This window comes from Homo sapiens, chromosome 3 (genome assembly GCF_000001405.40).
Source record: "Homo sapiens chromosome 3, GRCh38.p14 Primary Assembly".
NCBI classification, from domain to species: Eukaryota; Metazoa; Chordata; class Mammalia; order Primates; family Hominidae; genus Homo; species Homo sapiens.
Window position 1 is genome coordinate 94125731 of NC_000003.12, and position 24599 is coordinate 94150329.

General features: G+C 38.1%; 1 protein-coding gene across 1 annotated transcript in view, besides 1 other annotated feature; it reads left to right on the top strand.

Annotated features, from left to right (window-relative positions):
- NSUN3 (NOP2/Sun RNA methyltransferase 3) overlaps window positions 1-6102 on the top strand; it is a 68772-nt gene extending 62670 nt beyond the window's left edge. The window contains exon 6 of the mRNA NM_022072.5: window positions 481-6102. Coding sequence (NP_071355.1) covers window positions 481-760 — 280 coding nt within the window. The 3' untranslated portion in view covers window positions 761-6102. The remainder of the gene's footprint in view (window positions 1-480) is intronic.
- Window positions 5039-5128: an enhancer, noted in NCBI's record as "active region_20125". NCBI's record gives its function as "activates an Ori minimal core promoter by ATAC-STARR-seq in GM12878 lymphoblastoid cells {active_cell/tissue: GM12878}" and the evidence as "EXISTENCE:reporter gene assay evidence [ECO:0000049][PMID:35858748]".
- Window positions 6103-24599: the final 18497 nt, after the last annotated feature.

Below are 24599 nucleotides of genomic sequence, written 5' to 3' on the forward strand. Positions count from 1 at the left end.
TTCCAAGTCTTCAAGGATAAGTTAGAAAGAAATAGGTGTAAGATCAGAGATTGGGCACAGTGGCTCACGCCTGTAATCCCAACACTTTGGGAGGCTAAAGCAGGCGATCACTTGAGATCAGGAGTTCAAGACCAGCCTGACCAACTTGGTGAAACCCCGTCTCTACTAAAAATACAAAAATTAGCTGGGCATGGTGGAGGCCGCCTGTAATCCCAGCTACTTGGGAGGCTGAGGCAGGAGAATTACTTGAACCTGGGAGGCAGTCATCGCAGTGAGCCGAGATGGCATCACTGCACTCCAGCCTGGGTGACAAAGTTAGACTCTGTCTCAAAAAAAAAAAAAAGACTAGAAAACATCCAAAGTAATTGCAGTCTAAGTCAGAGTAAGGTTAGTTTTAAGTACGTAATCTTTGCTGTCAGACCCCCTGGTTTCTTTTTAATATACTTAACTAATCTTTTGCATTTTTCTGATTGCACACAGGTCTGCAATTAAGGCCTTACGTCCTGGAGGGATACTTGTATACTCTACATGCACGCTTTCCAAGGCAGAAAATCAAGATGTGATCAGTGAAATTTTAAACTCCCACGGTAACATCATGCCTATGGACATTAAAGGAATAGCAAGGACTTGCTCCCACGACTTCACATTTGCTCCCACTGGCCAGGAATGTGGGCTCTTAGTGATTCCAGATAAGGGCAAAGCCTGGGGCCCAATGTATGTAGCCAAATTGAAGAAATCATGGAGCACAGGAAAATGGTGACATGAATTTGTAAACTGTGTTTATGTGTTATTATATTTATATTTCTGAACTCAGTACATGTTAATATTTAAATAATTATGCAGTAACTTTCTCTGGGTCTGTTTGGAATCCTATTTAGTTAATACTTTAGCATCTTAGAATCTAGGCTTGAGAATTGTTCAGGTGTATTTTTTTCCTAGAAATATATCTGTAACAATGATTTAAGGTGGTGCAGATGGTGTTTGTTCTATATTATAAATCTGCTGTCTTTGCTTGGCATTTTATAGTTAAATTAATTAGAATATGTGGTTTTATGCATAACGTGTTTAGTTCTGTATTCTTTCTATGATAGTGCTTTGAACCTTCAAAAATTCACATTTTCCAGCGCTCCGACCATTTTCCCGCTTATCAAATGTACAAATTTGTTCAAGGTTTTTTTTTCCCCCCAACTTTTGTAACTGATTGTCTCAGAACTGATTGGTATTCTGAGACTAACTTTTTAAGCAGCACTATTTCTAGTTCTGGCAAAATAGTTTTTTTATTTGCAATGTTGTTTTCTGTTAAAGACTATATTATGTTTACTGCAAAGGTCAGTGACTCTACTGACACCAGCTTTATTTCCCCCACTTTTTTTGCATTCACAAATACAAATTGAAAGGGTAAATTATATTGAAAGGCCTTTAGAACAGCAGATTCACATGCACATGTTTGACTTTCGACATTCAGCTTATAGAATTATGGAGTCTATCCAGCAGGCTATAAAGCAAGTACTTGAGACAAAACCGGAATGATTAATAACTGCAATCACTGAACTATATTTGGAGAGTTTTGTTACATAATTGCAGTCATAATGAGCACTACAGAATCTGATTATCTTACATTCACAATCTGGAGGGGCTTTTTATTTCACTTTGTTATAAAATGTTCTCTGAGAATATGATGCCACATATTAATGCACAAGAGGGAGATGCCTAATGAGAGTGGACTGTGTGATTACCAGAACCCAGTGCCATTTACTAAGTGGCTCTCCATGTTTACATAAATCCTGGGAATACTGTATACATTTCTTCTTATGTACTTAGGGTTTTAGCTTCAGTCAGCATCACACTTTTTCTCCAGAAATTACTTCACTTAGAGTACAAACATATTTTTCCAACTATTAAGAAAAATTATGCAGCACATCTCAAAAAATAGCATCTCTTTGGAAAATAGCCTTTAAAAAAAAACAACTTTATCTGATTATAGAAATACAAAATTCTGCTAAAGCTGAATACTTTTGAATTGTTCATTATGTTCTGTGCCTTTAAACTAGAGACTATTTGCTTATTAATATTTTTTGTTTTGCAAGCATATGTAACCCGGTTTATATCATCAGGAAGTCTTAGGAAGAATTTTTTTTTCTGTACCTTCAGTCTGTTAATCATTTGTTTTCCTTTATGTCCAATTGATATGTTTAAAGTAAAGCTAAAGTCCAGGCACGGTGGCTTATGCCTGTAATCCCAGCACTTTGTCAGGCCGAGGCAGGGGGCATCTCCTGAGGTCAGAAGTTCGAGACTAGCCTGCCCAACATGGTAAAACCCCGACTCTACTAAAAATGCAAAAAAATTAGACAGGCATGGTGGCTGGCACCAGCAATCCCAGCTACTTAGGAGGCTGAGGCAGGAGAATCACTTGAACCCAGGAGGCAGAGGTTGCAGTTAGCCAAGATCTCGCCATTGCACTCCAGCCTGGGCGACAAGAGTGAAACCCCGTAGCAAAAAAATAATAATAATAGTAATTAAATAAAAATAAAGTAACGCTAGAACTGTTGGACCAAATCAAGTATATGGGTAAATACAGAAGAATAATGATGGTGGAAAAGATGTTTTCTTTTTTAAGTTATCATTATTAGTTTGTTTTTTTTATCTTCAGACACTATAGGTTTTAAAAATAGGTTTCTTTTATGTAGGTTAATCACAGAGTAAATCTGCACACTGTACTTTGTTAAATGTCGGTATTTTCCCAGTATAATGCGATGAAGCTTAATCTGAATACTTGGTATGCTATTGAATTTACTTTCCTATGATTACTGAAAAATGGATGCACGTGTGTGTGTGTGTGTGTGTGTGTGTGTGTATATATATATATATATATAATTTTATTAAAAGCAATTGCCCCAAAAGCAGAAATTGACAAGCGGGACCTAATTAAACTGAAGAGCTTCTGCACAGCAAACTAAACTATCAACAGAGTAGCAGACAACTTACAGGATGGGAGAAATATTTGCAAATTATGCATCTGCCAAAGGTCTAATATCCAGAATCTATAAGGAACTTAAATCAGCAAGCAAAAAACAAATAACCCTATTAAAAACTGAGCAAAGGACATGAACAGACATTTCTCAAAAGAAGACATTCACATGGCCAACAAACATATGAAAAAGTGCTCTTCATCACTAATCATCAGAGAAATGCAAATCAAAACCACACTGAGATAATATTTTACACCAGTCAGAATGGCTATTATTAAAAAGTCAATAAAATAAAAAATAACAGACGCTGATGAGGCTGTGGAGAAAAGGAACTGCTTATGAACTGTTGGTGGAAATGTAAATTACTTCAGCCTCTATGGAAAGCAGTTTGGAGATTTCTCAAAGAACTTTATAACAGAATTGCCATTTGAGCTAGCAATCCCATTAGTGGGTATATACCCACAGGAAAATAAATTGTCCTACAAAAAAAGACATAAACGCTTGTGTGTTCATCACAGTAATATTTACAATAGTAAAGATACGGAATCAACCTAACCGCCCATCAGCAGTTGATTGAATAAAGGAAATGTGGTACATATACCTCGTGTAATATTACACAGTGATAAAAAAGAATGAAATAATGTCTTTTGCAACAACATGGATGCAGCTGGATGCTTTTATCCTAAGCAAATTCAGGAACAGAAAACTAAATACATATTCTCACTTACAAATGGGAGCTAAATATCGAGTACACATGGACATAAAGGAACAATAGACACTGGTGACTACTAGAGTGGGGAGGGGAGGAGGGGGATGTAGGCTGAAAAACTACCTATTGGGTACTGCACTCACTACCTGGGTGACGGGATCGTCTGTACCCCAAACCTCAGCATCATCCAGTATACCCATGTAACACACCTGTTCATGTATCCCCTGAATCTAAAAAGCTGAAATTATTTTTTAATGAGAAGATAAACCATAATTATAATGAAATAGGTAATATTGAGCATTGAATATTCTATAAATTGTTTATATATGTTGTCTTTTTTTTTTTTTTTTTTTTTTTTTGAGACAGAGTCTTGCTCTGTCGCCCAGGCTGGATGGCGTGCAGTGGCATGATCTCAGCTCACTGCAACCTCTGCCTCCCGGGTTCAAGCAGTTTTCTGCCTCAGCCTCCCAAGTAACTGAGATCACAGGCACCCGCCACCATGCTTGGCTAATTTTTTTTGTATTTTTAGTAAAGATGGGGTTCCACCATCTTGGCCAGGTTGATCTTGAACTCCTGACCTTGTCATCCACCTGCCTCAGCCTCCCAAAGTGCTGGGATTACAGGCGTGAGCCACCACACCCACTGTGTATGTTGTCTTTATTGATGCTTAAAACAAACTCAGGAATAAGTATTATAACCCCCTTTTGTGAATGAGAAAACCAAAGCTCAGTTCTGTTTATAGTTTGCCAAGGCTACACTGGTAAGTAAAGGGTTCAGCCAATGTATAGACAGACTGTATAGATATATGAAGTGGGGGTGGGGGCCAAGGAGCTATTACTGCTGTTTGGAAATACTTGCCTCTTGTAGATCCAGCTTTAACATTTTTATGACATCCTAGTAATAGCAGACCCTGCACAAAGTGGATATCAGAGTTAATACTGTGAAGAGACAAAATAATGAGAATACTTTTACCAAAGATAATGAAATCTTGCATAATGTCTGCATTTTTCCATTGATTGGAGTGCATCCTTAGAAAACTGAAAATAACAAAAACCCAGGACATTTTTGGAAATTGTATGCTCTCTAGCAACTTTGCGTGAATTTTTATACAAACACTTATGAGTTATATAAAATGTTCTAAAACTAGAAAAAACATGGTCTTGTAACATGTTATTTTCTTAGATCACTGGTTTCTCAGAACATGTCTTTCTGCATGGCCTCCTCATCCCCATCCCAGGGGAGAACGTGAATGTTCCAAGGGACTTCGGCCTCTGGGGCTTCCACACTCTGGGTGTCAGGGGTACAGCTCACAGGCTTTCAGTTTGGCCACAGCTGAATGATTGAGAATTACCAGATAAATCCTCCAAATCCATTTCTCCAGAAACCTCTTCCTAGCCACACAGTGGGAGCCTTGTTTGACCTTTTTTAACCTTTCCTGGTCAGGTGCCAGGCCAGTCCTGCAAAGCCAGCAAAGTTTCATTTTCATTCAACCCTTTTTTTTTCACTTTGAATCAAATGGAATTTAGTTCCTCCCACTGTCCCCAACCCAGCTAGAGTGCAGTGGTGTCATCATGGCTCACTGCAGCCTCGACTTCCTGGGTTCAAGTTATCTTTTCGCCTCAGCCTCCTAAGTAGCCTGGACTACAGGCCCACAATACCATGCCTGGCTAATTTTTAAATTATTATTATTATTATTATTGTAGAGATGTGACCTCACCAGGCTGGTTTCAAACCCCTGGCCTCAAGTGATCCTCCCACTTCAGCCTCCCAAAGTATTGGGATTACAGGTGTGAGCCATTGTGCTCGGCCTCATATATTATTAGTTGTAAAAAAGGATGCATGTTTTCCCTCACCTTCTCTTTGGCTAATTATAAATCATTTTACTTAATATTTCATAGTTAAAGGGTAGAGCCGCGATCAAAACTGGCTCCGAGGTCCAGGCCCTTTTCCCAACACTATGCTGTCTCACAGAGTGTAGGTTGTTTGAACCCTCAAGATTATTAACTGACTTTACCCCTATTTTCCATTGTTCAGTTTCCTCCTTTTGTGTCATACCCTATTCCCAGGGGATGAAAGGATTAATCAATACTTGGGAAAAAAACAACAACCTTTGAACTGTTTCAGGCCATATTGTAAAGAAGTGTGTCTTGTGATTTTGATACCCAGAAATCTCCAGTGGAGGGTATTCTCTGCCTTCCTTTTCTTTGCAGATGCTGAGCTGAAGAATGGAAATTTGGAGCAGACTTGCAGTGTCAATTGTAAAGCAAAGAGTAATTGATATTACTTTCTGTGACACTGAGTTACTTTCAAAATAGCTTTATAAAAATTTAGGTTGCTTACCAACACATTAACTTCTCCCTGCCGTCCACACGCTGAACAGCCACTACTTTCAGAAATAGACTGAATAAATGTAATGCATTTAAATGGTTTGTACTGAATTTTTTTAAGCATCAGATATTATCTGTGGTTGGAAATCAAGGTGTCCTGCAGTTCTTTATCTTATTATGTATATTCCTATAACCTTATACTCAAGATTTCATATTACTTCCTTAGCAGTATTGTGAAAAATATTCTTTCATACAATGTGGGTAGGTAGAAAATAATAGCTACCTGCACACCTGGCTATGTGACCAAATAATCACAAATCTAATAGACCCTTATCCAAGAAGCCTTTATGCCTGGGAGATAAGCATCAGATAATCTGCATAGATGAATGCAACTCATCTGGAATACAAAGAGAAAATTAGAACCAATAGCAATAATTTTATTAGATGCCAAAAAGTCCTTTGATGCAATTGAATGAGACTACTTGTATTATGTGTTAGGTAAATTTGGCTTTGGGGACAAATAAAGCAGATAGCACAATTTATTTTCAATCCATTTATATGGTTTAAATCAATGGTTTACAATCTCCCTTTCCCTGCCTTATTGCTGCACTGGGGAGGGAAGTAAGGATGATGCCCATTTCTGATGTTACTCTTCAGGCTGACATTGAAGCTAGAAAATCACACAGATCCCATGGGTATCTGAAGAATATTCAGATGGAGATTCACAAGTTAACTAATATATGCTGATAATCTACTACTTTTGCTGAAAGCTCTAATACCATCTGTCCTGAAAACATTAAGAGTAATGTCAGAATTTGGAGTGGCTTCAGGCAAAGTCAATGGGAGAGAACCAGAAATACTATCTTGACAGAATAGTTTCTATTAATGTTATTGTGTGATAATAAAAATAAAATAAAAATTTTAAAATAATAGATGTGGGATTCTCATTAGGGAATGACTAAACAATAAAGAAGACATTTTAAAATTGATCTGTAATTCAGTGCGAAGCTTTTTAAAAAATGGGTTATACTAAATCTAAGGAGGAAGAAAGTGTGGTAGAGCTTATGTCTCTTTAAAGTTTAATTTGTTAACTCAAAGATTAACTCCATACCTTTCTGAAACTTTTCACAAATGAAAAGAGTCATTTCCTTAGTCGTGTGAGGACATATTGTCATGTTGAAACCCAGGGAAAGCATATGCTACCTTAGGAAGAGGATGTTTGCCCCACTGGAAGCTGTTTAATGGTATATGTCATGACTCAATTAAGCTTGCTATGGCTTGTCAAAAGGAATTTTCCACTGCATATTGCTATGGAATAGTCTATTACACACAAATAACTATACAGCCTAGCAGAACTAAAAATGTATAGTTCATTGAAAAATAAAACACAGAAGCATAGCATCCAGCTCCTTCTTAGTTCTTAAAAGCCAGTGGAAATAGAATTGCAGATATTAACATGAATGGACAAAGTTCAGAGAGATTGGCAATGGCAAAAAGGAAAGGAGAGGGACAGAGCTTATATCAGCTTACAATTATTAAGTTACATATTATCCAAACAAAGTGTTAACAACGTTTTCAAAATGGTAAACCTTTCTTCATTAAGGTATTAACAGTAATTGCTAGGGTGAGGGGCAGGGGATAGAGAACTCGGGAGAACTTCTGTTGACTTGTGAATTAATGTTACTAGGGAAGGATTACTGTGGGCTCATAGCTTATGGCTGCCAACTCAAAAGGAAGGGAGGTTATGATGGTGACAACTAGCTCTGATGCCACTGGAAATTGTTTTGTGTGATATTTTTAGCCATTAATAGCCAACATAACTAGTTATACCACATTTTCACATGATATTCATTCCTCTTAAATTGATTATAAAAATTTCAGGGTAAGTCCTATATTATAGCAAATGTGTTTATAAACAGCAGACATACACAAATCAAACTACCTATGTTCTTTCTTCCTTAAAAGACTGCTTTGTGATAGTAAAGATAATCTCTGTAAATCTTCTATATGGAGCTGTACCTCTGCCCATTGATGCATTATTTTCAGCTACCTAGTCAACTTGGCCATATAAAATTAATTCAATAGATTCTTCTTCCATCCAACAGTATTGAGTTGGCAGAAGCAATTTGATATAATTTTAGAAGAGGTGATTTTTGAACCAGAAGAAGTTTAAGTGGTATCTGTGACAGAGCCTAGATTGAGTCAGGCAGGCATGTTTCAAGAGCAAGGGACACTGGTAAGGCATGAAGGGTTCAGGATGCATCACCAGGAAGCACATTACTACTCCAAACAAAGCGTAGGTGTTCGTCTATCTGATCACACCTTCTATTAATACATCCACTGAGGACTAGGGTGTCTAGTTCATGTCTTCCCCATCAGAACTTTTGCCACCATCCTGGCTGAATTCATCATGTCTGTGGAAAACCTATCCAATATCCTACCCTCCTGGCTCCTTGATTGCCTCTTCTCCAACAGCTTTTGTCTCCATGTTCTTCATTCAGTAACTCACACTCCTGAGCATTTCCTAGAACCTGGCATTGTCTAGAGTCACACTCTCCAATGGATCTTTCTGCATTGTTTTATCTGCTCTATTAGACACGGACAGTACCAGCCATATGTGTCTACTGATCACTTAAAATGTGGCTAGTGTGGCTGGGTGAAATGGTTCACACCTGTAATCCCAACACTTTGGGAGGCTGAGGTGGGCAGATCGTTTGAGCCCAGGAGTTCAGGATCAGCCTGGGCAACATGGCAAAACCCCATCTCTCAAAAAAAAAATAATAATAATACGTGTGTGTGTGTATATATAGTGAAAATTAGCTAGGAGTGGTGGCACGTGCCTCTAGTCCCAGCTACTTGGGAGGCTGAGCTGGGAGGATTGCCTGAACCTGAGAGGCAGAGGTTGCAGTGAGCCGAAAATGTGCCACTGCAGTCCAGCGTGACTGAAGAACAATTTTTTTGTTTACTTGTTTGAGACGGGGTCTCGCTCTGTTGCCCTGTCTGGAGTGCGGTGGTGAGATCTCAGCTCACTGCGACCTCTGCCTCCCAGGTTCAAGAGGTTCTTCTGCCTCAGCCTCCCGAGAAGCTGAGAGTACAGGTGCCTGCCACCATACCCAGCTAATTTTTGTATTTTTAGTAGAGACCGAGTTTCACCATGTTGGCCAGGCTGGTCTGGAACTCCTGACCTCAAGTGATCCACGCACCTTGGTATCCCCAAGTGCTGGGATTACAGGCATGAGCCACAGTGCCTAGCCCTGAAGAAGAATTTACATTTTAATTAATGTAAATGTAAATAGTCACATGTAGCTCTTGGCTACCATATTGAACAACACAGATCTAGAATTTCTCCACCTACTAATATTTAATCTCAGTACCTCTTGTTCTTCCAGCTTTATTATTCTCTCATTTTTATTAAACTGCAATCCAGTTTTCTTGATACCTGTAGTTTTTAAACCTTAATTCTGTTAAAGACTATCCTTTTCCCTTCTGGTTTCCTTTCTTTATTCATCCTGGACCCTAAGGTTAATGCCTTACAACTTACAACACAGAACTCTCATCTCCGTCATTGTCTTACATTCCCATCGCACTTGATACTGAAACTTGCAATTCTGTATCAGTCCATAGACCATGCCTCTACTGATAGATCCTACATCGCTGAGCATTGTTTGAAAAAGAAGAAAATCATACAGTGGACAGTGCAGATTGACGTCACTACAAATTCACACAACTGTGCAGATTTATTTTACCACAAATTCATGCTCACCTAAGTTTTTTTGTTTGTTTTGTTTGTTTTTTGTTTGTTTGTTTGAGGCAGTGTCTCGCTCTTTCGCCCAGGCTGGAGTGCAGTGGCGCCATCTCGGCTCACTGCAAGCTCCGCCTCCCGAGTTCACGTCATTCTCCTGCCTCAGCCTCCCGAGTAGCTGGGACTACAGGCGACTGCCACCATGCCTGGCTAATTTGTTGTATTTTTAGTAGAGACGGGGTTTCACCGTGTTAGCCAGGATGGTCTCGATCTCCTGACCTCGTGATCCACCCGCGTCGGCCTCCCAAAGTGCCGGATTACAGGCGTGAGCCACCGCACCCGGCCTCACCTAAGATTTTTACACTGCTCAAAAACTTTGACTATTCCTTGGCCGGCTTTCTTTTCCGTTTTCATTAGTGACTTTTCGAAACTTTGACTATTCTCTACGTCTCTCCCACATAAACCCTCTCCTATTTTCTTTAGATGATGCCCCTGCCTCCTTGTTGCTTGAGAAAATTGTGGCTATCAGAGTGAATGTCCTTGACTCTAACTTTCTTGACTCATACTCCTCTTCTCCTCAGTTTATTTAGAAACACCACTAGCCAGCCGGCATTCTAAGTTAGAAACTTGGAAGTAATGTTCCATTTTTCTCTTTCCTCTTCCTCACTCTCACCTCTAGATAATAACCAAGACCTGTCTTTTTTATTATTTTCTCTTAATACCATTGACATTTCCTTAGTTAAGATCACTGAGCTATTGAATTTTCTTCCAAACTCATCTTCTTACCTGCTGCCTCATACCTCACAATCTACACTGTCTATTGCTGCCAAAGTGCTCTTCATACAACAAAATTCTGTCATGTCATTATTGTGATTAAAATTTGTCAGTGACTCCCACTTTACACGATGAAGTCTGAGCCCTTAGCATATTATCTACTAGGCCATCTTGCTTTGAAAGCTGGATCTCTCTCTCTCTCTCTCTTTTTTTCCTCTCTCTCTCTCTTTTACACACACACAAGTTACATTCTCTTTTACTTTTTTCATAGAAATTTGAGTAATCCTATTGAGGAAACCTAATTATCACAATGGTTAAAGTGTCTCAACTCCAGCTCGTTGGTTAGGATACCCTTTAAGTAATTTGCTAATTGTGCTACGGCACCTGATGATATTTTTGCAGTGAACGAGATATTTGAAAATACAGTCTTTTTGTTTTCATACTTCTATCTGTTAACAATATATCTGTATTTTTGGCTGCAATACTTATTTTTTCCACAGTGAATTGAAGAAATAGTCAAACCACTTTCAAAACCTTGGGCATTGAACTGAGAGATGTAAATTAAATAGAGAATCCACTACATTACGGGCATGCTGAAGCATACATACAGTGTGGGAAAATTTCAAAATGAAATAGGCTCAGTAATAAGGTTGGAATGTCAATGGATAAATCCATAATTGTCTTCTGGAGGAAGCTTCAAACCTACAAGGAATATCCAAGGACAGAACAGCAAATGAAAATATCTTAAAATAGAAAAAGAAGTTGTACTTCACATCAAGGACAGTCAAAAAATAGATTATTGAGGTAGCACAGAAACTATAGAAAAATCTTAATCTTCATAATCTTATCAGTTAGCCCAGAGTGTTTTTTTTAATGTGAAAAATTAGTGTGATCTGGAACTACTTCTGCCTTTAACTGAATTTGTGACATTAAATAGGCCTAAAACTTTCTAAACTTTGGCTGCCTGATTTTTTAAGTAAAAATAGGTTATCTCTAAGAAAAGTGAATATACTTTGAGCCATTACTATATTCCAGGCACTTACATGACTGGTGTTTTATTTGATCGTGTCTCTTCTCTTTCTAAAAGTCTTCTGACCTGTAACTGCAGCTGAGGCAAAGGATTAATACTGTACACAAAAGTCAAGGGAGAAAGAAAAAAAATAGTGGAGAACCAAAATAGGTCTAAGAGGAGTGATAAATACAGGAGTAAATAAAGCATGAGGAGGCGATGGGAATTACAAAGGAGAAACAGGTGAAAGAGCCTCGTTGAAGAGTACAACCAGCTATGTTCACATTCTTGGCAATACGTTCATTTTGCTAAACTGGCATTTCTATTAAGCCAACATTCCAGAAAGCGCGGTTGTTTCTGTTTCTCTTTCACAGCAGACCAGTCTGTTTCCAAGCTTGATGTTTTTCACTCTTATGCATCTCAAACTTTGGTAATGTAAGTACCACGTATAATAAAAGAGCAAAAATATTCTCTAGGGCCCCAGTGCTTTATTAAAATATTTATTTTAAAATGAACAAACATCACAGTGTAAAAAATTCTGTATACATATAGTTTTATACAACTTTAAAATCCACGAAGCTCTAAAACGTTGTTAACAATTGGAAAATAAAATGAAAATAAATAGCATTAATTTAATACCTCAGATGATGCTGTTCTGTTAAAACTATATTGCCTCATGAAATCAAAGCATGATACTTACCATTAAGGTGTAGGATTTTAGTGTTCAGTGTGTCCTAGCTATTGTACATCACATGATTTTTCAATTCTTCCACCAATTTTCTCTGTTTGAATTACCAAAAAACTTTGATTTTTTGTAGTGCCTTATGATGCTGTTTTCTCTCCAACCTTCCTTAAATACAGAATTTATATTTAAAAACAGCTTTGGTGTTTTCAAGTTATTTCACAAATATTAAAATAGTACTGCTTGGGGTTAACTTGATAATAACAGAAACACCTTTTTTTTTTTTTTTTTTTTTTTTGAGACTGAGTCTTGCTCTGTCCCCCAAGCTGGAGCGCAGTGGCGCGATCTCGGCTCACTGCAAGCTCCGCCTCCCAGGTTCACGCCATTCTCCTGCCTCAGCCTCCCGAGTAGCTGGGACCATAGGTGCCCACCACCACCCCCGGCTAATTTTTTGTATTTTTAGTAGAGACGGGGTTTCAGCGTGTTAACCAGGATGGTCTCGATCTCCTGACCTCGTGATCCGCCCGTCTCGGCCTCCCAAAGTCCTGGGATTACAGGCATAAGCCACCGCGCCCGGCCCATAAACACCTTCTTAAGCACTAGAATCTCATAGTGACCATCCAGATGATACAGAGTATACTTACATTATATCTTTAAAAATTCGGAATAGCTTCAATATGAAATATAAAATTACCCACATTCTCCCTGGGAGCTCAGTTAGCAGAGAGTCATCTGAGAATCCCCAAGTCCTTGAGCTTCAATTTGAGAAACGGTGCTGTGGTCTTTATTGATCCTGCTAAGTTGGAAAACATGGAATCTCCTCTGATAAGTATGTCTTAGAAGATTTGCCAGGAGAAAGAGAAGCACAGGGAAGTCATAATTTAAATAAAAGGACAGAATATTTTTGGTACAGCCCTTCCCTACAAATATATCTTTCCAGGGCAGGGACATTTGTTCCTTGCCATGAAAAGGGGACCATGTAATTTATCATCCAACTAAGACATTTTTGAGAGTAGAAAAGCAAGCTATTAATAATTACACCAGGACAACTAAGTGACCAGGACAGTCCAGCCCACATGGTCACCCTAAGAGAAGAGTGAGGGAGGCACTCATGCATTTGAAGAGATCAAATAGATCTCATGCTTCGTGATAAATGCTTTTGAAGCCAGGCAGGAGTCTCATGCCTTTAATCCCAGCTACTTGGATTGAGACAGGAGGATTGCTTGAGCTCCGGAGTTTTCAGACTAGCCTGGTAGGCAACATAGCATGAGACCCAGTCTCAAGGGAAAAAAAAGAGAGAGAGAGAGAGAGAGAGAGAGAGAGAGAGAGAGAGAGAGATGAAATGCTTTTTTTTTCTTTTTTGCTTTTTTTTCATCCTGCACACTTTCTTGCAGTTCCCTTCTGCAAAAATGAGATACTCCCCCTTTCAGTGCAAATAAAAACCTTCTTAATTACAAAACGACTTCCTTTCTACTCTGCCTGAAATCTAAAGCATGAAGGTCTCCTTTTAATCAACAAATCAAAATACATTACAAGCACTGTCTAATGACTTCAGTCTGATATTATACTTAATGGAGCTTTTGGCAAGAGCCCAGCTGAGATAACTGATAGGCAAGATGAATAGTCAAAGCTAAGGCAGTGGCTTTCAGACTTTTTAGGGAATTTGAATAATGTTTATAAGATGACATACAAAGGTAAGCCCATAGACACACAGAAAGTTTTATTACACAGTATTTATCCTTAAACTTGTTATGTATTACACGCATACATATATACATGGACATATATATTATCCCACTTAATTGACCTTGACCCCCACTTAATTGATTTCATGACCCATTAATGATTTGGAATCTGCAATTTGAAAACCACTTATAACTAGCCATTCCCTTTTGCATCCAGTTAAGTAAAAAGGTACATAAATAGACAATGTAAATTCATTTCCATGTGTCTTTACAAAAATTCATTTTACTAATTTATTCTTGGTTTAAGTAAGTGTTGATTTTAGCACATTAAAAAAAAATCCTATATAAGGTGTTATATGCCATGTCATTCAAAGCCTCCCTGCTGCCTTCCCCTCCAGCCCTACCCCGTGTAGGCCTGTAATTATTAATTTCTCCTAGATTTCAGTGAATGTTTTCAGATTACTTGGCCTATATTAATTATATTATTTTCCATTTTCCTTTGTGTGCTGACAAACACAGCTAAATTCTATGACCACATACAGCACTTATCTCTGTTTATCTCCCTTCACCTACCCCATTCTCCACATGGCTTTTATTCTTTCATTATCCTCCCTCTTTAAAAAATGATTATGTTGTAGAAGATATACCGGCTAAGGGTGTATGTACCAGAGTCAGTCTGCCTGAGTTTGAATTCTATGCCACTCTCTAGCTGTGTGATGTTAGGCAAGTTACTTAACCTCTTTATATCTTAGTTTCCTCATCAGTAAAATTAGAATAACAACAATGAAAAGAACAATCATAATACCTATATCATAGTCATTTTGTGAGATCTAAATGAGGTAATACCTTTAGGTACTAGCACATTGCTTAGCCCATAGTAAGCAGACAATAAATAAAGCTATTGCTATTCTCATAAATTTTAGAAGTAGACATTACAATTAGTTGAGGGTTTCTTTTTCTCCCTTTTTTTCTTTCTATTGTTATTATTTTTTTACTGAGGGTTTTGTTAGCTTTTAATCTTGTGGAACTCAGAAACTCCCATTAATACGGTTTCATAGAAAATAGTCGTACAAATTTGTCTTTGCATCTTCTCTGCAGAAGCCCCTTTGTCAGATGAATTCACAGAGTGTTTTCTTTTGGAATCCTTAGGCTAGGCTTACTTATTTGTGATATTTGTGTATGAGTTTGTTTTCCCACTAGTATATAAGAACTTTGAGGGTCAGGAGCTGTTTTATGAATCTTTGAGTTCCCCTAGCTCTTCATTCCCTGCTTTCTTATACTGCGTGTTTCATAAATGTTTAATGAAATACATTAATTTAACAGGTTCCTTTGAATATCAAAAAAGGAAGAAAGTTCTCAGTAGAAAGGAGTAAAAATTCAAACAGAGATTGATGAAAGCACAGAGAGAGTTTGATATTCAGAACATTAACTGAGGCAGTAAGGCTAGAGTAGAATGGTCAACTGCCCCATCAGACGTGGTTAAGAAAATGGACTTTATTAGTAAGTCTGGGTATACACTTTTGTCTCTGTTACTTCCTAGTTATGCAAACGTGGGCAAATCATGTAATGTCTTAAAAGCTCATGTCCCTAAGCTCTACAATAAAGTTAACTAAAAGATCCTGAAGGCCCAAGTTCTAGTGTTTTATAGCACCATAGGATGACTATAGTTAACAATAATATATATTTTTAAATATCTAGAAGACAGAATATTGAATGTTCCCAAAATAAAGAAATGATAAATGTTTGAAATGATGGCCATGCTAATCATTCTGATCTGATCACTACACATTGTATGTGTTGAAACATTACTATGTACCCCATAATTACATATAATTATTATATGTCAATTTAAAAAATTTAAAAAAGATCATAAATGTAAAGTGTTTAGTATAGCACCTGATATATAGAAAGCAGATGATGTATTAGATTTTCTATTGCTGCATCACAAATTACAAAACTTATCAATTAAAAAGAATACAAATGTATTATCTTACAGTTCCCATGAGTCAACAGTTCAGAATATTTTAGTTGGGTTCTCTGCTGAGGATCCCAGAAGGCTAAAATCAAGATGTAAATTGGGTATGCCCCTATCTAGAAGCTTTCCTGGAAAAAGATCTCTTTCCAAGCTCCCTCAAATTTTTGGCAAAATTAATTTCTTTGCAGGTACATGACTGAGGTTCAGCGTTCATACTAGGAACCACTCTCGACAACTAGAGACCACTCGCAAGTCCTTGTCACATGGCCCCATGCATAAGCCTCTCACTCTAGGAATCTCTTAATTTCTTCCTTCAGGAAAGACCCCCAGTCCTTTTAAGTGCTCACCTGAATCAGGTATGCCAAGAACAATCTTTCTTTGAATAACAGATGAGAGATTTTTAGCTGATGTTCCCTCCCTGTACGTCTTCGTTACTGTAAGCATCTTGCCACTCTATGATTCTATTATTTACATACACATATTATTTATATAGCATAGCTCTTAACTATATAATCAGGTGCTAAGTTGGAAAAACATTTTTTTTCTAAGATTAGAAGAGAAACTAGGTGTGTTGGACTTATTGACAGCCAATGGTCTCTACTATAGCACTTTCCTAAGAGGTTTTCAAAGGTAATTTTGATTATACGTGTGTTAGTCTATTTCATATTGCTATAAAGGAATACCTGAGGCTGGATAATTTACAAAGAAAAGAGGTTTATTTGGCTTATGATTCTGCAGGCTGTACAAGAAGTATGGCACCAGCTTCTGGTGAGGCCTCAGGAAGATTTCAGTCATGAGGGAAGGCAAACAGGAGCAGGCATCACATGGTGAGAAAGGAAGTAAGAGGGAGAGGAGGTGCCGGGCTCTTTTTGACCATTGGATTTGTAACTATAGAGCAAGAGTTTACCCATTACTGTGGGGAGGGCACCAAATTATTCATGAGGGATGTGTTCTCATGACCGAAATGCCACCCACTAGGCCCCCCTCCAACACTGAGAGTCACATTTCTACATGAGATTTGGAGGGGACAAACATCCAAACTATATCAATGCACTATTTGCCCTCTATATTGTTTCTACAGATAACTCTACTATATTGTTTTTCTTATTATTATCATGATCTAGGAGACTTTGAGATAACTGATAAGGAGAGAAAAATGTTTGAATAGTTACAGAGTTAGGAAGACATTGGTTCTCTCATTCCTCCTGTCACAAGTGGTTGAAACATAAAATATGTTACAACTTTCAGTTTTATGAGTTATATTCAACTATGAAAGGAGTACAGAGAAATATGAAATTATCTCTGTCTTCAATGAATCTTCAATTTGGTTGCAAACGTAAGACATATTTTCACATTTCACACAAATGTGAAAAGTTAAATAGCACTAGAAGGCAGTATATAATTATAAGACAAATGAATAGTGGATGGAGTCATAATTATAAATCGGAGAGGAGAGGTCAAGGATGGCTAAAGGAAGTAGGAGAGCACAGCTAAGTCTACAGAAATGGGCAAGGTATCACCAGATAAAGAGAAAGGAAGAGGATATAATAGGAGGGTGGAGTGGCTTGAGCAGAAACATGGAAGCACACACAATGTAACGTATTAATGGTGCAGTGGCTGGAGTCCAGAGTTCAACTAAGTGAATAGGAAGAGATAAAGTTGAAAGTGCAGATATTATTTGGAGCCTCAAATATGAATCCAAGGAGTGTGGGCTTAATCCAAAAGGCAGTAATAACCCATTGAAGCTTTTTCAAAAGAGGAATTCCACATAGAGTAGATATTGAGTAAGTAATTGTGAAAAGATGAATGAATACATAGTAAATATACTGTTTTAAGAAGAGTAATAGTTTGGGAAAGTTTGAATAGGAGGAGGAAGACTATTGGTTTTGGCTGTAGAGTATCAAGAGTCTGAGAGCGGTTCATAGGATCTGAGTTAGGTCACATGATAGCAGTGGGACTCCAAAAGGAGAGATTGATAGAAAGGAAGAATTAACAGGATTTGAAGACTAATTAGATATGGAGGAAAGGAAGAGAGAGGAACCAAAAATGACTCTGCATTTCCAGCCTGGATAATTTATAAATGATGGTTGCAATTTACAGTTTTCCCGTATGCAAAATGAGGAAAATAAGAGTATTTTATAGTAAGCATGTCTCTATTATTATTGTTATGTACATAAAATGTCTAACATGGTACTTGAATGTTTAATTTCCAATAAATAATTGTTATTTTAATATTGTTATTTTCATCATTAATATTAATTCACAATCCTGAGATCCAAACAATTCTGAAAGTCTTTTGCTTCTTTGTTTGGTTGGGTTTTTTTGCTGTGTTGTTTTGTTTTGTTTTGTTTTTTGATAACACATGCAGTGATCTGACCTGGAGTCTTTTGGTAGTAAAATCTTACCCAAACTGACTGAGAACCTTTGTTTACTGTCTAAATAACCATATGTTTTGCTCTCCAAATATTAGCATATTTATGAAAAGATATTTGGTTTAACCTCCTGACCTATATTTGCCTATTTATCTGTCTCAATTCCTTGGCATATTTGTCGGTATGACAGTAGCTCAATCAAAGGGACAAATTTGGATGCTGACTGAGATTCTCTTGGGAGTGTTAAAAACATATGGTATATATAACATGTTACTCTTCTGATATTTGAAAACATCTAATTTCAAATTACATCCAGCTTGAGAGTTTTGGATAAAAGGTGATGGATCGTATTACTGTTGATTGAAAAAGGAAAATAGAGACAACTACTTTGAGGAGACAAATAGTTGATGAGAGATATGTTGAGTTTGAGGTAATGAGAGCACAGAAGTGAAACTATTTTCTAGGTGATTGGTGATACCTGATTGGATTTTCAAGCAAATAAGCAGGATACACATAGAAGTGAAATTTCAAGTCATGAGTAGGAATGAAGTCTCCTAGAAAGACAAGGGGAAGGCAATGGGAAGAAAGCTGTAAGGGGATTATTGAAACAAGGTGTATGTATGCACCGCATGTAACAAAAAGCTCTGGCTAAGCTATCAAAAAGCCGGTGTTTAGTAGGGTTGAAGCTGAGTCTGTAAGAATAGGTTGAGATGGAAAAGAAGCAGGAGAGTGCCATACTTGCCAAGGAAAGAACTAACTTTAAGAAGGAGCAGTCGATTACTAGAATCAAGTGCTACAGAGAGGTCAGAGAAAAGGAGAACAATCATAGCAGCAAACAGATTGGATTTGTTAATTTTGGATGCTCAATGGTAATGAGATGGTATCAGAGAGGTAAGAACAGAGGACTTAAGCGGGGAACCATAGCAGTCTAACTGGATTTCATTACTTCTTGAGTATACTCGTTCCTGGTTGATTCAAGAACACAAGAGTCAAAGAATCACAAAACTTATAGCTAAATCTAATCATATATTCTATCCCTCTTGTTTGTAGTTAAGAAGGCTGATGCCTCCAAAGTGGTTAAGATTCTGGTAACAGTCACATAATGAGTTCATGGCAGAGTTAAGACTAGAACATGAATATTGACATTCCCAATTACGTGCTTTTTCTTCTCTGTACTAGGCATCAAAGCAGTGCGCTCATCTAAGGGTTCTGTTTGAATGACACCTTTAGGTATTACTGCAGCCCCCCTTAGTACAGAAACAAAATACTCCTCCACCAGTTTAAGAATAAAAAGTCTTATTAAAAAGCCTTTTCTTTATACTAGTATGCCTCTCACACCATTGGGATTTTATGAGGAATTGAAAACTTTACACATCCATATATTATAACTTTCAGTGAACCCAATAAAATGTTCCTTTGTATCAATATCCATGATTCTGTCCAGAAACTCTTTCAGTAGTTTAATTTCTCTTAGTCTTTTTTTTTTTTTTTTTTGAGATGGAGTTTTGCTCTTGTTTCCCAGGCTGGAGTGCAATGGCGCTATCTCGGCTCACCACAACTTCTGCCTCCCGGGTTCAAGCAATTCTCCTGCCTCGGCCTCCTGAGTAGCTGGGATTACAGGCATGTGCCTCCACACCTGGCTAATTTTGTATTTTTAGTAGAGACGGGGTTTCTCCATGTTGGTCAGGCTGGTCTCGAACTCCAGACCTCAGGTGATCCACCTGCCTCAGCCTCCCAAAGTGCTGGGATTACAGGCATGAGCCACCGTGCCCTGCCTCTCTTAGTCCTAATCTTTATAACTTGCAGAATCTTAACAGCTCAAGCAGATCTCTACAGGATAGTAAACTCCTTAGAGGCAGGAATTTTATCTTATCTTTGTATGTCTGGAACCCTAAAATGATGTCAACAACATAGTATATGTTCAATAAATGCTTGTTGAATGAACAAATAGGTGAATAAATGAATGAATTAGTGGAACGTTCAGTAAGCCTCCTTGAGAAACAGTGGGAAGATAAGGTATTTGGCTCAATCTCCTGACATAGTTAGCTTGTGCTTGCTTTTCCGACTCATGTCTAACAGAAATAGCCCTCAGCATATTTGCAAACACAACAGTAACCTCAATCAAAGGGAAAACACTTGGATTACCCTCAATCAAAGGGAAAACACTTGGATTATCTCTCAGAATTATTGCTAACAAGTTTTACTTATTTGGATGCCAGTGACCCTTACTAAAGACTTGAGACTTGGAAAAGAGGTCACGGAGGTGGTAGGGGAATGTGTTGACCCTGGCCCTCTAATATTCTGATTATATGTTTCTTGCTGCTCAGTCAGTTGCTTTTGGGGCTTTTTATTTTGTTTGAAATGCATCCTAGAGGGCAAAAAGATGTACCAGAAATTCCAGCCTTATTTGGAAGGGCCCTGTAGAAAGTGGCTTATCAATACTTAGCACTTTTCCACATGTACTACACAAGTATGCCTTATTTCAGGAAATTTGCAAAGCGGTAATCATATATTTCACCCTGTATTATAATAATATATTTTTCTCTTTCCTGAGTGTGATGTGCTGTCAACTATTTAGCATCTAATGTCACAAATTTCCAGCACTGCCAGATTAGAATGCCTCAAAGGCCTAATGACTCCTAAGTGGCTCACCGTCAGCTCGGTACAGCTAAGCAATTCCCATGCTGCTCAGGAGTCATGTATTATGCTGGCAGGCTGCCTCACTGGTGAGTTACCTTGAGACAAAAGTGTTGTCAACAGTGGAACAGTCAGTTTTTCCTTAAAGCCCTTTATTCACTCCTCTCCCCCAACTAGGTATAGCCGTATTTCTAGAGCAGCAATCACAAAGTACACCTAGTGATTTTATCAGGATTTCTGGCTAAATTAACTTAAACAGCGACACGAGTGGAAATATACCTCCCTGGCTTCCCTGCCAGCCTACCCTGAGAACATTCTGGCTTAATTTCTCTCTTTAACAAGACCAAGAAGACAGTCTTTTGCGTCTCCATGAGAAAAGTATTTACATATTCAGAAATCAGCTTGGCAAACCAGAGCTAAGAGTATGGGGAATAAACATTGTCTCTGTTCTTTTTTTCCTCTCAAAGTTGAGAATTAAATTCTTGAATATGATAAGAGCTAAAAGTTGGCAAAAGAGAGATGGCAACAGTGATGTGACATCTGTCAAAAAGTGTTGATCAGCGGAGGCCTCTCTGCCTACCTTGTGCACCCCTGGGCTCTCAGGTCCTTGACAGGTGTTTCCCTTTTTCCGCCTTCCTTTCCCTGGACTGGCTTCCTGGGCTTGATAGGGGCAGATGCAAGCATTCCACAGCTTGCATTGCCTCATTTAAAATGCACGGTGGGTAGAAATTAAAATTAAAATGAGTTCTTTTTTAAGCAAAAATGTCACCATTCTCTTTCAAAGATGATAACCTGAGTAATGACTATCAAGAGAAAAGATTGGTGTCAAATTATGAGGCTGTGCTTAGTGGGCTTATGATTTATGTATAGGAATACATCATTTTTTGACAAAGAGCAAGATGAGGTTGAAATTGTATTTATTTGGCAAGCCAAACTGGCTTCTTTGACTTTTTTTTTTTTTTTTTTTGAGATGGAGTCTTGCTCTGTCACCCAGGCTGGAGTGCAGTGGCACTACCTTGGCTCACTGCAAGCTCCACTTCCTGAGTTCACGCCATTCTCCTGCCTCAGCCTCCCGAGTAGCTGGGACTACAGGTGCCCGCCACCACCCCCGGCTAATTTCTTGTATTTTGTTTAGTAGAGATGGGGTTTCACGTTGTTAGCCAGGATGGTCTTGATCTCCTGACCTCATGATCCGCCCGCCTCGGCCTCCCAAAGTGCTGGGATTATAGGCGTGAGCCCCTGTGCCCAGCCTCTTTTACTTTTAAGCCATTGGCATACATTTAATATGTCATATGCACTTACTTAATATTGGGTAGCAAGGACATATGTGTTCATGTTCAAAACTAGGCTAGGCACTCCTCTACTGGATCACACAGGAAGTCTCCAAACTATTCTAGGAGATGAGAGCTGTCTCTTTGTGTTGTGATAGGTATTCTAAGCCATTCATTTTGAGCAAGATTTCTTTAGCTGTTTTCTCTGTTTCTCTCTCTTTTCTATTGTTACAAAGAGAGGTCTATAACTTTTGCAAGTAGAAAAATTGGTCTAACTACCACTAGCTTTCTTTGGAAATGTATATTTGCTTTCTTCCTGTCTCTTTCTCACTGGCATGTTATTTTAGCAGTCAAGCTATTTGTGTGTCAAAAATAAGTATGGTACATTTTCTAGTCTACCTTTACTAAGTAATAGTCATGAGTACAATCTCACATAAAATTTTGCAATAAGGAATTCAGGATAGGTTTTATTCTGCTTACTTCTCAAGAGAGCTGATTAAGTGAGAATCATTTGATCCAAATTCGTAGCTACTGCTGCCATGTTGAGTGCGGGGTGTCTTGAAGAGTATAATCCCCACCTTCCCACCAATCCAGGAAGGAAAATATTGAAGTTCCACATCTACAGCGTAATCTCTGTGTTCTGTTTCTTCTTGTCATTTTCGTTATATATACAGACCCCTCAGGAGAGAACAACGGTTCTGAGTCATATTTCACATTGCAACTCGTGAAGCATAAGAAATCTTGTTTCAAGTTGTGAAGAGGAGATCTGCACAAACACTACATACCATACAATACTTACAAAATTTAAGTTTGTGGTCCCTTCTTGAGTCCCACATGTAAAAATCACAAATCATGCTTTTGTGCATTTAGATATTTTACCAATGCTATTTTTCTCCCATCACATGTTCAAGAAGATCTTGGAAGAAGAGATATGCCATACGGAAAGAACAATGTCTTTGAAACGATTCAAATGCTTAGTAAATCATTTGGCTTCTGAATACTTGTTTACTCTTTTGTGGAATGGAGATGGTGATACTGTCATGAAGGGTTACTGTATGGTCTAGAAATCACTGGCGTTCAGGTAGGTAGACTCTTCTGAATCTGAGTCTACCACACTTTCCCTTGGCTGAGCATTATTCATAGTAAACCTGTTGTCCTGGATAATCCTGGTCACATGCAGTGTCCAGTACTGTGTATTTGTGTGCGGTTCCTAATGTGTCTAGTCTAACAGCTACTCTCACTGGTGTTCTGAGGCCCAGAACCTCTTAGAGCCAATGTGTTCTAGGTTTTCTAAGCTACTGCTTTCAATTCATGTTTTAAGCTATTTTTTTTTCTCATTGGTGAACATACAACTTTTGAAGTTCTGTTTCCCAGAGACTCCAGAGGCAGGCCTATGACTTGTTCATTCATCCATTCAACAAATATTTAGTCCTTTAACCAACCCCATATGCCATACCAACATTTCTAGATCCCCTTTACACTGTACATCTTCTATTTTTTTAATGTATCATTAGCATATCATGCAACTTATTCTTTTTTATTGCCTCTTGCTCCACTATAACGCAAGCTCCATTGGGACAGAGATCTTCATTTTATTCACTGATGCATCCCAAGCAAACACAATAATTCACAGGACATATCAAACATTTGTTGAATGAGTTTAGAATATATTATGTTTTAGGAACATGGGAACTGGTAAGTTATATTGCTCTTCCAGAGAACAGTTCATTCAGAAACTTTCTTGGTGTTCTTTAGAATTATTAAAGTTTCACATTGAGTATCCAGCTTCTTTCTTCTGTACACTAAAGCAAAGGTAACATCACATATTTTCTCTGAACTCCGGTAAGCTCTTGATCTCCTGTGGTCTGTGCCTTCATCCTCCTCCTCCTTATTATCATCATCACAGTTATCATCATCATGTTAACTAGTCTGCTAGATGGTTTCCAATGGTCTTTGCCAATGGTCTTTACACAAGCGTGTAGTCCTCTCCCGTATTGAATAGGGATGATGTGTGTAACCAATAAGAGATGATTATGTGTAATTTCTAAGGCTAGGTCATAAAAAATATTACAGCTTCAGCCTTTCTCTCTTAGATTATTTCCTTTAGGGAAACCAGGTTTCATGCCCTGAGGACAATAAAACAGTCCTCTGGAGAGGTCCAAGGAGCAAGGAACTAAGGCCTTCTGCCAAAGTTCCTATGAATGAGCCATTTTGGAAGTGGATTTTCTAGCCCTTGTCAAGACTTAGATGACTGAAACCCTAGCCAACATTTTGTCTGTAGTCTCGTGAGAAACTGAGCCAGAAACATCCAGCTAAACTGCTCCCAAAGTCCTGACACATAGGAATTGTGAGCTAATAAAAGATCATTGTTGTTTTAAGCTATTAAGTTTTGATGTAACTGTTACATAGCAGTAGATAACTAATGTAATCATCACTGCACTTCTTGA